This window comes from Homo sapiens, chromosome 6, assembly GCF_000001405.40.
Source record: "Homo sapiens chromosome 6, GRCh38.p14 Primary Assembly".
NCBI lineage: Eukaryota > Metazoa > Chordata > Mammalia > Primates > Hominidae > Homo > Homo sapiens.
In genome coordinates this window covers 90374835-90387557 of record NC_000006.12, presented here as the reverse complement: position 1 = coordinate 90387557, position 12723 = coordinate 90374835, and the positions used below count along the sequence as shown (strand labels likewise).

The 12723-nt window shown below is 39.2% G+C and overlaps 1 annotated feature.

Moving 5' to 3' along the window:
* Positions 1248 to 1842: an enhancer, noted in NCBI's record as "OCT4-NANOG hESC enhancer chr6:91095435-91096029 (GRCh37/hg19 assembly coordinates)". NCBI's record gives its function as "activates a minimal SCP1, AML or CMV promoter by ChIP-STARR-seq in primed H9 embryonic stem cells {active_cell/tissue: H9 hESC(primed)}" and the evidence as "EXISTENCE:reporter gene assay evidence [ECO:0000049][PMID:30033119]".

Sequence of the window (12723 nt, the reverse complement as noted above, 5' to 3'; positions counted from 1 at the left end):
TGTCATTTAAAAATCCCTGAAGGTTTTTGAAAAGAGAGAAAGGGAAATGGATGTGGAATGAATGCCTGTTCTATAGTGGGCAGTGCCTCATTTAATCTTCCCCAAAGTTAAATTATTTTCCAGGTGAGGAAACCAATACTCACGGAGAAGCAAGATCAATTAGAAAATATGGATTAGGATATAGAGAAAGGAAGCTCCCCTCTCCCTCACCCTCCCCTCCCCCAACACTCCCACCCCTACTGCCCCCCAAAAACGAATGCCGACATCCAGGCAACTCACACCAGAACAAAAGTACTGTGTTTTCCTAGTGGTGCCAGCGAAGCCTCGAGGCTGGCAAACAGAAGCCTATGGCAGCATCCCAAGATCTCCTCCCTGTCCTGTGTCCAGTCGACTCCAATGCTAAAGGGAACCTATGACTCTTATATTCCACGTGGCGTGGCTCTCACCAGTCCTGCTTCTTCCTCACAACTTCTCTCCTCGTGGTCTTCTTATCCTGTGTCTTTTCCCTTCTTAATCACAGTGTTATAGATAAAGGGTCCCTCGCCTCATGAAATCCAGTCCCCAGCTGATTTGCTTGCCTGGCATACAACTTTTAAGTACTCTCCACTGCAGTCTATAAAGCCAGGACAATAACACTCACCCTCACACCTCAGGATTTTGCACATTAACTTGTTAATGGTTTGGCAAACATTAGCCCCACCATAAAGGCTGAGATAAAACTCTGTCTTCCCTTTCTGTTCTTTTTTTTTTTTTAACTAAAGCTAAAAATCTTCTTGTGCATTAGAAAGCTGATATTTTCTTTATGATAACTGTAAAAATCAGCAAGTTGGATGCACTGGGGAAAAAAACCAAATTGCACATACCTGTACTTCACTTTTTATCTAACCAAACAGTGCAATGTTATGGGGACACAGATGCCTTCTCTGTGTAAGTGATCGTCATCTAGAGCTTGACATCCCTCATCCATCACACTGCCCTCTGTGCATTTCAGGGCTTGGAATAAACAAATCTGGGAAGCCATATATGTTCTTGTTGTCTAAGTTCATTTCACAGCACATTGGTTAAAGTGGATTTTTAATATGTCATCCACATTCATGTCAGTAAGCCAGTCTGAGGAGCTAATGAAGGTGTGTCAGTTGAGGGAGGACTGGCTACCTCAGTGCCCTGATTCCTTGATCCCCTGGGGCTCTCTCTCTGCACAATTCTACCCCAGCGTTACAAACACACACTTTCCTGGCCAAACCTCCCTTGAGTCAAGGCTGTCAGTCATTCCCAGCCCAGCAGTAGTTTTACAAAATGCACAAAGGGTAATTACAGAAAGACCACCCCCACTGATTTTCATATGTAATCTTACCTTGGGACTGGAACCCAAGCCCCCACTTCAACTGCTTCCTATGCAACTTAAACTTGGCAAGCACAATACCATATAACTGCTTGGAGGGGGAGAAGAAAGCAGGGGGTGGAGGTGGGAAAGGGGAAGTTCAGATTAGCACAGCCTTGATCTTGAAGATTATTATAAATCCTTTAGCACTGTTGAAACAATTAGATCACTTGATTGGCCTTAACATTCCTCATCCCATAAATTAGCCTGGTGGGTGCCTCCTACTGTTAAGCAATGCATTACATTGTTCCAACACCAACATCTGGCTAACAGAGAACAGACCAATTTTAATTTTAGCTCTTAGAAATTATACCTATCCCAGTCCTTATGATAACCTCTATAATGAATACGTAGAAATGTGGCTTTTGTCATTAACATTTTATTTGAAAAATTCCTTTTGTTCTAGGTATAACATGAATAAAACTTCTAAATGGTGCTCAGTTTCAAAAGTTGTTTTCTTCCTCAAAATTTGCAAGTAGATATTTTCAAATGGTAAATTTCATTGAAAATAGTTTATTTCAAACATCATCTTTTACAAATTGCAAATACTAATACTTCTGAGATGCGAATATTGACACAGCATAAAGTACAATGCTTTCTACCACTATAACACTAAAACAAATAGAACATATGTTCCCTGATTCTTTATAATTCTCCTAAATTATAAAACCAAATAGACATATAAGCACATATATCAATCATTGAACCCACAAAAGTAAAAAGATAGTGTCAGGTTCATCATTAATTTTCACCTATATTTGAGAGAGAGATGAGACGAAGAGTGATATACAGAAAAGAGAAGGTGAGAGGGAGAAAGAGAAGGCAAGGAGAGAGAAAAAAGAAAGTAAAACTTTGCAGGGGCACCAGGGTGGCACTCACTGAGGAGGAGGCACTGCCCCCGCTACATCCCAGGAGGGCAGAAGCAGCAATGGGATCTCACAAGAGGGGGCAAAAGGTACGTGATAGTAATCAGCCCTAAAACAATGCTTTCTATGTGCCAGATACCCTAAATGCATGAATTGCTTTAATCCTCATAACAACCTTATGAGGTTTAAATCCATTTTTGGATGAAGACATTAAGATACAAGGAGGTTAAGTACCTTGCCCAAGGTCATACAGCCAGTAAATGGCAGAGCCAGGATTAGAACCCGGGAGACAGACTCCAAGAGTCCATGCACTCAGCACCATGCTGTACTCCATCCCAAATGTGCTGGAATTTACCCAGCCGAGTTACTGTTGCTCCATCAGACCAGCCGCCTGAGAGGATCTGCCTCCATTCTAAAGACTGTGCCCCTGCTCAGCCTCTGGGTCACTTCCTTTGAAACTGTCCTGAGACCTGTACCACATTCCTTTGCTCTTTAGTGGTGGCAAGTTTTAAACCTCTTGAGAGTGGATACGACTTTTTGGAACTGCCGAGAATCAGAGGCATGCATAGAGAACAGAGTGAGCTCTGGAAAATAATTTTTAGATTATTTTCTAAAATTATTTTTAGATTAAAATTATTTTTAGATTACGATTATTTTTAGATTAAAAACAGAATGATGTTAAAGGTAATAAAGTAGTTTCCTTTGTGGCCCAGGAATTAGCTTTGCTAGTAACAAAAGCATCTTAATCTCCAATTGTATTGGCAATTGTATACGACTAAAATTTGCATGTAAGGATCATCTAGATCTTCTGGAAGTCTGCTTGTTTTGACCACTTTCCAGTCATTTCCAGACTCTGCTACTCACTGTGTCCGAGGAGACTTTCCACTAAGCTGTAATATTTATCTTTAGTATAGTCTTTTGTACCCTCAGCTTTCCTACAAGGGCTTCTAGAGCATTCTTGTCTTTCCTGATAAGCAGAGAAAGTATTAGGTATAATGACATTGGTAGGACTGAAATAGGAATCCTGATCTTTTAAACTCTGATATCTAATGAGAGATATACCAGGAGATAAAACAACTTCAATAGGCAGACTCCACAGGCCATAGTGCTCGGGGAATTCTCAATTCTGATGCAGGGGCATCAGTGTTGCTTGCTCCAAGACTTATTAGTTCATGCAGCATTAATTAATTAGAATCAGGAGAACTGACTCACACTATACACATTAAAAACTGATGTATAAACTGGAGTAGACATTTATTTGTTTGTTTGGGGGGAATTGTCCTTCTCATAACTATACAACCTGTTGTGATCAAGTACAGTGTATTTATCCAGTATGTTAAAACTTATTTCTGTCTTTCTGGATTTCAAGGCCTTTAATCATTGGTTACCGCATCATCACTTAAGACAGTAGATATTACAATGGATTAGGTTACTAATTCTGCATTAGGTTATCTGCATTATCCATTTCCTTGCATTATTATCTGTGTTTGGTCACCTTAAATGGGCTATTTCCCAGCCCATGTGTAACTCACCTCTTGATTTGGACCATCACACGCTTTCTCAGTTGATAATTTTTGTTCTTTACTTGGTTAGAATTCAAGTATATAGTACTAGGCTTAAGCCAAATAAAAGCAAAATGTTTAACTGTTCCCTCCTCACTAATAACAATAACAATAATAGCTGGCATCTGTTGAGTTCCTCTTATTGCACTTTGCAGGTATTAAGTCATTTAACCCTCACTACTACCCTAGGAGGTAGTTTCCGTTATTATCTACATTTCATAGATAAGGAAATTGACCTGAGAAATAACTTTCTCAGGGTCACAGGGTGAGCAAGTGTCAGTAAGTGTCAGAGCTAAAATGCAAAAGCAGTTTGATGCCCACACGCTTAACCACAACACTGAATTACTCTCTTAGCCTCTTTGCAACTTGGGTGTTACTACTACTACTACTAAAAAAAAAAAAAAAAAAAAAAAAAAAAAAAAAGGAAGTAGCTGTTTTTCTCACTTGCCCTGACTCTAGCTAACCGTTCTTGACTTCTTTGCATTTTATCCATGCAGAACAAAGCTATATTTGTAATCGAACTCCAGATAAATAAGTACCTGTTCTTTAGCAGAGTCAAAATCTGAAAATGTTTAGCTGAAGCTGGTAAAATATTTAAATCCAATAACGTCCTGAATAGAATGTAAGGATTCTTTCCTTTGTTATCAAAACCTAAAGGCATCCATAGGTTCATTCCATTCTGCACTTCAGTTGTTTCCTTACAAACTCCCCACCCTCACCCCTACCCCTAGTTTCTGGGGCCACCAGATAGGGACAGCACCTCCTGGGCAGGAGAACGTGGAGCATAGTGGCTGCGCACACAATCAGCAGTGAGTTAGCGGAAAAGACCACAGAAATGTTGGGCATCTGGAATTATAGTTCGTGTCTGACTGAGAAATCTTAGGAAGCCCATTTAATTGTTCTGCCCCCGTTTTCCTCTCTTTGAAATGGTGTTAACAGTACTTGCCTCTGTCTACCTTATGCAGGGACATTTGACCCTCAAGAGGCAATGTTTAGAATAGCACTTTGCCCCCCAGGGTGTATAATCCAAATAGAAATCACATTTGTTGTATTATTTTCTGCTGCTGTATACCTGCATGAGACTATTTTTAAGTTCGTTTCTTTTAGCCTACTTATAGCAACAGATAGATTTTGAATGTTGACCTTTGCACAGCCTTAAAGAACATTATTAAACAAAGCAAATGGCCTCTCAGTGACAGCTGAGATGTAGTGGGAGGACTCCCAGGTGAAGTCAGGGTGTCTGGGTTCAAGTCCTGAGTCCAGGTTCTAGCATCTGAGTTGGATGCCACTGAGGAAGTCACTTACCCTCTCTGGGTCTCAGTTTCTTCATCTGTACAATAGGAGCACTACTTTGGAGTTCTGATGATTGCACAGGGGAATGAATATGAAATGGCTTTATAAAATGTCATAAACCTTCCAATGTTCATACTACCAGTAGGCAAGGAGAAGCAGAAAAGCCTCAGGACTGGAAGAAACATTTTGATGTTAGCATAGATGCTTGGGGCTCTTGTTCAAATGTAGATTCCATTGATCTGGGGGCAGGTATTGAAATCTGACATTTCTAAAATGCCATGGTTCCACAGGCTAACTCCCAGTCTCCTTTTCCCTGGTTTAAAATGTTCATACTATTCCAAGAGAGCTCAAACATTATCTGGTCCAATTCTTTCCTTTTACAGGTCGGAAAACTAAGGCTCAGAGAGGTCAGATGACTTCTCCAGGGTTGACTCCTCACACCTTCTCTATTTTCTCCAACTTCTGAGTGGTTTCTTACAGCAGGGGGCACAGGCTACCTCTGTGGACAAGGAGCTCCTGAAAGAATGGAGGGGGAGTGGGTACTATTTTAGGACACTAGTCAGTTTGCACCTCAATTGTGTTCTCTGTGCAAAGGAGAAAGGTCTATTCTTAGACATCAGCCAGAGCTTGGAAGAAGTAGACTCAATCATTAAAGTAATCCATGCACACCTCGGTAAGTTAATACAGTCATCCATAAAGGAGCTGGGTAGGAAGGAAACAACAGGTACTTTGAAGGGTTTACAAAATGTATTTGTACCAGGGCCATGTAAAAGCCATTTCCAAGCCAAGAGGAAGGGCATTTATTATTTTCATTTAACATTTATTGAATAAAGTGTGTTGCAGAGCAGGCTCTTATAATCTGAGCCCCCTTTGACTGTGTGCATAAGCTTTTCAGATACCTGCAATTTCTTCCTCTTACTTAGAAAGATGATTATTGAACTGCAAGAGGTAAGTAAACATTAGAAGAGATCTTGGAAGAAATCTGTTAAATAGTTCAAGGGCTCTTCCTGGCAGAAGGAATCAGATACCTGACCTTCAATATATCGCAAAAGACTCCAGCAGAAGGAATTGGACCTTCAAATGTTCATACTACTAGTAGGCAAGGGGAAACAGAAAAGCCTCAGCACTGACTGGAAGAAACATTCTGATGTTGGACTAGATGCTTGGAGCTCTTGTTCAAATGCAGATTCCATTGATATGGGGGTAGGTATTGAAATCTGGCATTTCTCACAAGCTCCCAGATGATCTAATACTGGGTTAGTGACACCACTTTGAGTAGCAACTTCATTCTGTATGTATCCATCCTTAGCTATCACTGGACAGTCTGCAAGCCTTTCTGGGGCTAGCATTAAGCAAAAAATGTAAGTTGATAAAGGTTGCCCCTCAATAGAGGAGTAACAAGTATTACCTCTATCACCAAACATAAAATCTGAAAGTCCTAAATAATATTGAGGAATTTGGAATTTAATATGTCACTCTCTCCAGGGATACTTGCCTTTGACTAACAGCTGGCAGGAGAGGAGACAGCTTAACACAATATTCCTCCAGAGGTGCCATTTCAGGTATGAAGGAAGTGCTGGTGAGAGTCCTATCTTAAGGGTCATGCCCTTTCTAGCATCCCACAGTCACTTTTAAATATTCCAACTTCAGAATATGTCTCTGAGTCCTACACCTGAAATAGCCAAAGCAGATTTGTGTACAGCTCTCTGTATCCACGGGTTTCACATTCATGGTTTCAACCAACTGTGGATCAAAAATGTTTTTAAAACAATATAATAAGGCAAAATAATACAAATAAAAACTATATAACTATTTATATAGAATTTATATTGCATTAGGTATTATAATATTGTATATATAATAATGTATTACATATATTCTATATAAGTATATAGAATTTATATTGTACTCGGTATTATAAGTAATCTAGAGATTATTTAAAGCCTATGGGAGAATGTGCATGGGTTACATGCAAATACAATACCACTTTATATAATGGACTTGAGCATCCCTGGATTTTGGTATCCAGAGGGGTCCTGGAACGAATCCCCCACAGATGCCGAAGGACAACTGTATGTGTTGTATAGGCACTTGAGCAAATTTCCAAGTGTAGAATTTTAACCAACTAGGACAAGGATCATGATAGCTTAAGCAGCTCTGTATCTCCTAGAGTACCTAGCGTAATGCCTGGCTTAAAATAAACTCCTAATAAATATATTTGACTGAAGGAGATGGTGAGTAGATATCTATTCATATCTCTGAGGAAATATGGTGATTGGAAAAAATACTATTTAATTGGTTTTCAAAGCAAAATTACAGAATAAACTGGATAACTATTTTTTTCCTCAAACCATCAACTGATTCCATATAATTAAACTGAGCCTTAAGCCATACTCAGGAGGAGTTCAGCTTCAGCCTCTGTTCTACATGGAGAATTTCTTCTGGTGTTAGGGGACTCATATGACAACCAGTATGTCACACAGGACCACAAAAATTCCAATACTCTAAATATAAAGTCTTCACAAGACAGTTGATCCAGTATGACAGTGGATCAACAAGTATAAAGACGAACTGAACTGACACAGAGAGCTGTACAACCATCGAATAAATGGTTATGGGGTTATCTTGATTATGAATAAATTTATTTCAATTTTTCTTTTTGCATCAAATATTTGTTATACAACAAATTCAAAAAACTTATTTTTTTCCAGTTGAAGAAGTAACTTCAGTTTTAAGATAACAGATAAAAAAACATTTTAAATCACAAACTGTGTTAAATATTTGGGGAAATAAGTTAGGCCGACCTCAATGGAAGCCAAACCTAGAGTTATAAAAATTGAATTGTCTCATATACAGCTGAATCACATATATTTTTTCTAATCAGCTTTACTGAGGTGTAATTTAAAGTGTGCTGCTCGTTAAGCTTTGACAAGTGTATACCATAACCAAGTTATAGAACATTTCCATCATTTCCAAATCTTTCCTCATGCTCTTTTATGGCCAGTCTCCATTGCATCCCAAGACCACCTCCCTGACAACCACAGATCTGCTTTATGTCACTATAATTTTGCCTTGTCTAGATTTCATATAAATGAAATCATATAGTAGGTATATGATTTTTTCTTCAGCTTCTTTCACTTAGCACCTTGCCTTTGAGATTCGTTCATTGGTTCCTATCAGTTCCTTTTTATTGTTAAATAATACTTTATTGTATGGATATATCATAATTAGCTTATCCATTTACTAGCTGATGGACATTTGGGTTGCATTCAGTTTGGGACTATTTCAAATAAAATTTCTATAAACATTCAGGTATAGGTCTTTGTGTAGACATAGCTTTTCATTTCTCATGGGTAAATAGGATTGGCAAGTCATATGGTAACTGTATATTTAACTTTATAAGAAATTGCCAAACTGTTTTTCTGAAAGTGGCTGTGTCATTTTGCATTTCCATCAGCAGCAGATGAGAGTTTTAGTTGCTTTACATTTTCACCAACACATGGTGTTGTCAGTGACTTTAATTTTAGCCATCTAGTGTATGTGTAGTGGTGTTTTGTTGTTTTCATTTTCCTAATAACTAGTGATGTAAGTATTTTTAATGTACCTATTGGCCATTTGTATATCTTCTTTAATTAAGAAAAATTAATGGTTTTAGAGTAAAGGTGGCCCCGCTTCAAAGATTGGTGAACTGAGGCCAAGAAAAGAAAGTATAAACTCTCACATTTATTCCACAGAGCCCCTGAGACAATGTCCTTGGGGAAGAAGTGAAAGGTTTTATTAAATAGAATTCATTTAATTAATGGCTAAAATTAAAACTGGTACATGTGAATTTCCACAATGTTATATATTTGATAGTCTATATATGTGTGTGTGTGTGTGTGTGTGTGTGTGTGTGTGTGTGTGTGTGTGTATATATATATATAGTCAACATAATGGAATAATTTTCAAATGAGAATAGACATCTAAATCCTAAATTAAATGATGGGAAGGATAACCCCTTAATGCTAATTCATAATACAAAAAATTCTAGTTTGGGTCAGACATTGAACATAAAGAGAATATAGCACAGTGGTTAAAAGTGCTGGCTCCAAAGTTGGACAGTGTAGATTCAAATCCTGGCTCTGTTACATGTGGGCATGTAAGCCAGGGTGACATATTGAGTTCTCTGAGTCTCAATATCTTGGTGTATAAAATGAAATTAATAGGCTGGGCACGGTGGTTCACACCTGTAATCCCAACACTTTGGGAGGCCAAGGTGGGCAGATCACTTGAGTTCAGGAGTTCAATATCAGCCTGGCCAATGTGGTGAAGCCCTGTCTCTACTACAAATACAAAAATTAGCCGGGTGTCGTAGGGGGTGCCTGTAATCCCAGCTACCTGGGAGGCTGAGGCAGGCGAATCCCTTGAACCTAGGAGGCAGAGGTTGCAGTGAGCTGAGATCACACCACTGCACTCCAGCCTGGGAGACAGAGGGGAGAGTCTGGAAAAAAAAAAAAAAAAGAAGAAGAAGAAGAAAGAAGAAAGCAAGCAAACAAGCAAGCAAGAGAAAATAATAATAGCTACCAGGAAAACTTGTTGAGTTTAACACATGTTAAGTGAGAAGGAAGGAAGGAAGGAAGGAAGGAAGGAAGGAAGGAAGGAAGGAGAAAGAAAGAAAGAAAGAAAGAAAGAAAGAAAGAAAGAAAGAAAGAAAAGAGAAGAGAGGAGAAGAGAAAAGAAAAGAAAAAAAGAAAAAAGAAGAAGGGGAAGGGGAAGGAGAAGGAGAAGAGGAGGAGGAGGAAGAGAAGAAGAAGGAGGAGGAGGAGGGGAGGGAGGGAGGAAGGAAGGAAGGAAGGAGAAAAGAAAAGAAAAAAATAATAGCTACCATGAAAACTTGAAAATTTGTTGAGATAACACATGTTAAGTGTTTAGAATAGTGTCTGGCATGTAATAAATGCTCAATAAACATTAGTCATTGTTATTATTATATGGACACTTAAAAGCACAGAATTGCAATAGGTACATATCAAAGCCTCTGAGCTAAAAACATACACAATTCACTCTGATAAATAGGCCTTTTACAAGCCCGACACTTGGAAAATGTCTATTTTCCATCTCAAAACATGTTTAACGAGGATTCGTTCTGCAAAATCATCCCATGTAATATGCTAGGTAAGTTGTCCTCCTTTCTAACAAGAGCAAGCACCAAGAAAACAAGGCTGAGGATAAGGTTTCCCGAAAACAAACCCCATAATTTGACCCTCTTCAACCCAAATAGTTGGCCAGTGGCTCCTAAGGAGTTTCTTTATGACATCCTGGACATGAGGCCAATGGCTTTTGAAGCAGCAGCTCCTATTCTACAGCTATACAGTAAGGTTAAAAAAATAATAAAAATTTTAAAAATCAAAAACTTTTAAAAAACACTAATAATTCAATATTGCATTTAAATTAATATTTTAATAATCATTTCAGTATCTACATTCTTGTGGAAAATAGAACACATATGTGTCAGATGGTTATTCATTAAATCATTTCCAAATGCTAGGACCCTTGTAATCAGTCCAAGTGCCCCCAAGGTCTGGAGCTCATACATGGTGAAACTCCATGCTAGAACACACATACAGATTTTCTCAGCCATGGCTCTCCTAACAGGATTTTTTCCATGTTGTGTTTAATGATATCCTCTTGCACTAAGATCACAACGTTTTCCCCGAGAGTTTTATGTTTATCATGGGAAGTCATTGTAGAATGTGTGTACAACCCACAGATGACACTGTGAAGGCCTCCCAGCACAAGGGAGACTGATTCCTTCAAATATACCAATTCTGTTTGCGTTCTTGACTGTGGCTTCTGACTTCTTCCTTCTGATTCTATCAGATCCCTTCTGGAGCTGGTCCTAATTGCTTTTCACAGAGGATGCAAACTGGAAAGTTCCTACCTATTCAGCGAAGGCACTCCAAGTCCTGGGCTCTTTTCTCCTCGGGGGCAAAGATGAGACTTCTCTTCTGTAGAGATCACAGGTGCATCTGTACAGGTTGGAGTGCTCCCCCAACCCTGGACCCCTAGGAGCAGCCGTGATTTGTGACACAAGGCCCCACCCGTTGATCTACTCTTCACACAGCCGTGGAGAGCCAAGAACTGGGAGGGAGGTGAGTCAGTGATGAATTTTTCTTGAACAGCAAAGACCAATTGGTGGTTCGCCTTTTTAGTAAATTCCAAGATTCTGGAGTCATTTAAGTCCAAAGGGGAAATTTGTGAGACTGGGGGAAGGGGAAGTAGTGAGAAAATAGAAGCAACAAAAATATGCCTCCAGTGTTCTCACTGCTCATTAGACCAGCACAGAGCCAGTTCTTGTATGGCCTGAATAACTGGTACTTTTTATAAGCAACTGAAGAGCTATAAAAAGCTTAACATTTAAGAAAACAACAAACAGCTGTGGCTAGTGAGCAAGGAAAATCTGAAGAGTGAGCCTGTCTGGGTGGCAGGAGGTCACACTGCTTCATGAGGAAGTACTAAAACATCACTAACATTTGCTACATCAGTGTGTTTCCCTGGTTGGTCACACTTCTCCTTCCCCCCACCTCAGCCCCACTCTCCTATCAAAATAGAAGAACAAATATACGTCACCAGAATGCTCAGCAATTATTTCCTGAAAACAGCATTTCTTTTACATGCGCTTAATCATGTGTTAAGCAGCGGTACACACGAGGGGATCCTGATCAACAGAGTGAGCAAACACCCATGTGTGAGTTTGGTTCCCAATGCATTTGGGCTGAGCCTCACTGACCCGGGACCCCTGGGCTTAGTTCACGTGCACCTTGAGGTTCTGCACAGCTGCCTTTCCCTTTAACGGAAAATGCCATCTGCAGGACCAGAGCTAGCAACAGGCAGCAATAGCTCTCCCAACTTCCTCTCATACTAATCCATAATAAGCTCAATGATAAGGCAATTACCAGTGGGAGGCAGTAAGGTAAAGTGATCAAATATATCGGCTTTGGCTTCTCAATTCAAACTCTAATGCTTACTACTGGGTGACCTTGAGCAAGTTAACTAGCCTTTCTGTGCATTAGTTTCCTTAATAGTAAATAGTAAGTCAAAATTATCTTCCTCTGGCCTTCAGCTGAGTCTTAGGTGGGCTTGTTAGACAATGCTCTAGGCTGACTTTGAGAGGCACACAATCATCTTTCCTTATTTCCAAGCTTTAGATAACTTTTCTTAACAGCACATAATAAATGTCACTTGGGACAAATAGAAAGTGAACAAGAAAGTGGTAGGCCTGAATTCAATCATATCAACAATTACGTTAAATGTAAGTGGACTAAACACTTTTAACAAAAAGGAAGAAATTGTCAGAGTGGACACAGAGCAAAATTCAAAACTAATACATTTCCTATAAGAGATACACTTTAAATGTAAAGATTCCAATCAGTTGAAATCAATTGGATGGAAAAAAGATACGTTATGCAAACAGTCTATATAGGAAGGCTGGAGTGGCTTTCATAATATCAGATAAAGCAGACTTCATTACAGAGTTTTGCCAGAGGAAAAGAGGGGCTTCTCATAATCACAAAAAACATGACAATTACAGATGTATATGTACCTAATAACAGCTTCAAAATACACAAAGTAAAAATTGACAATC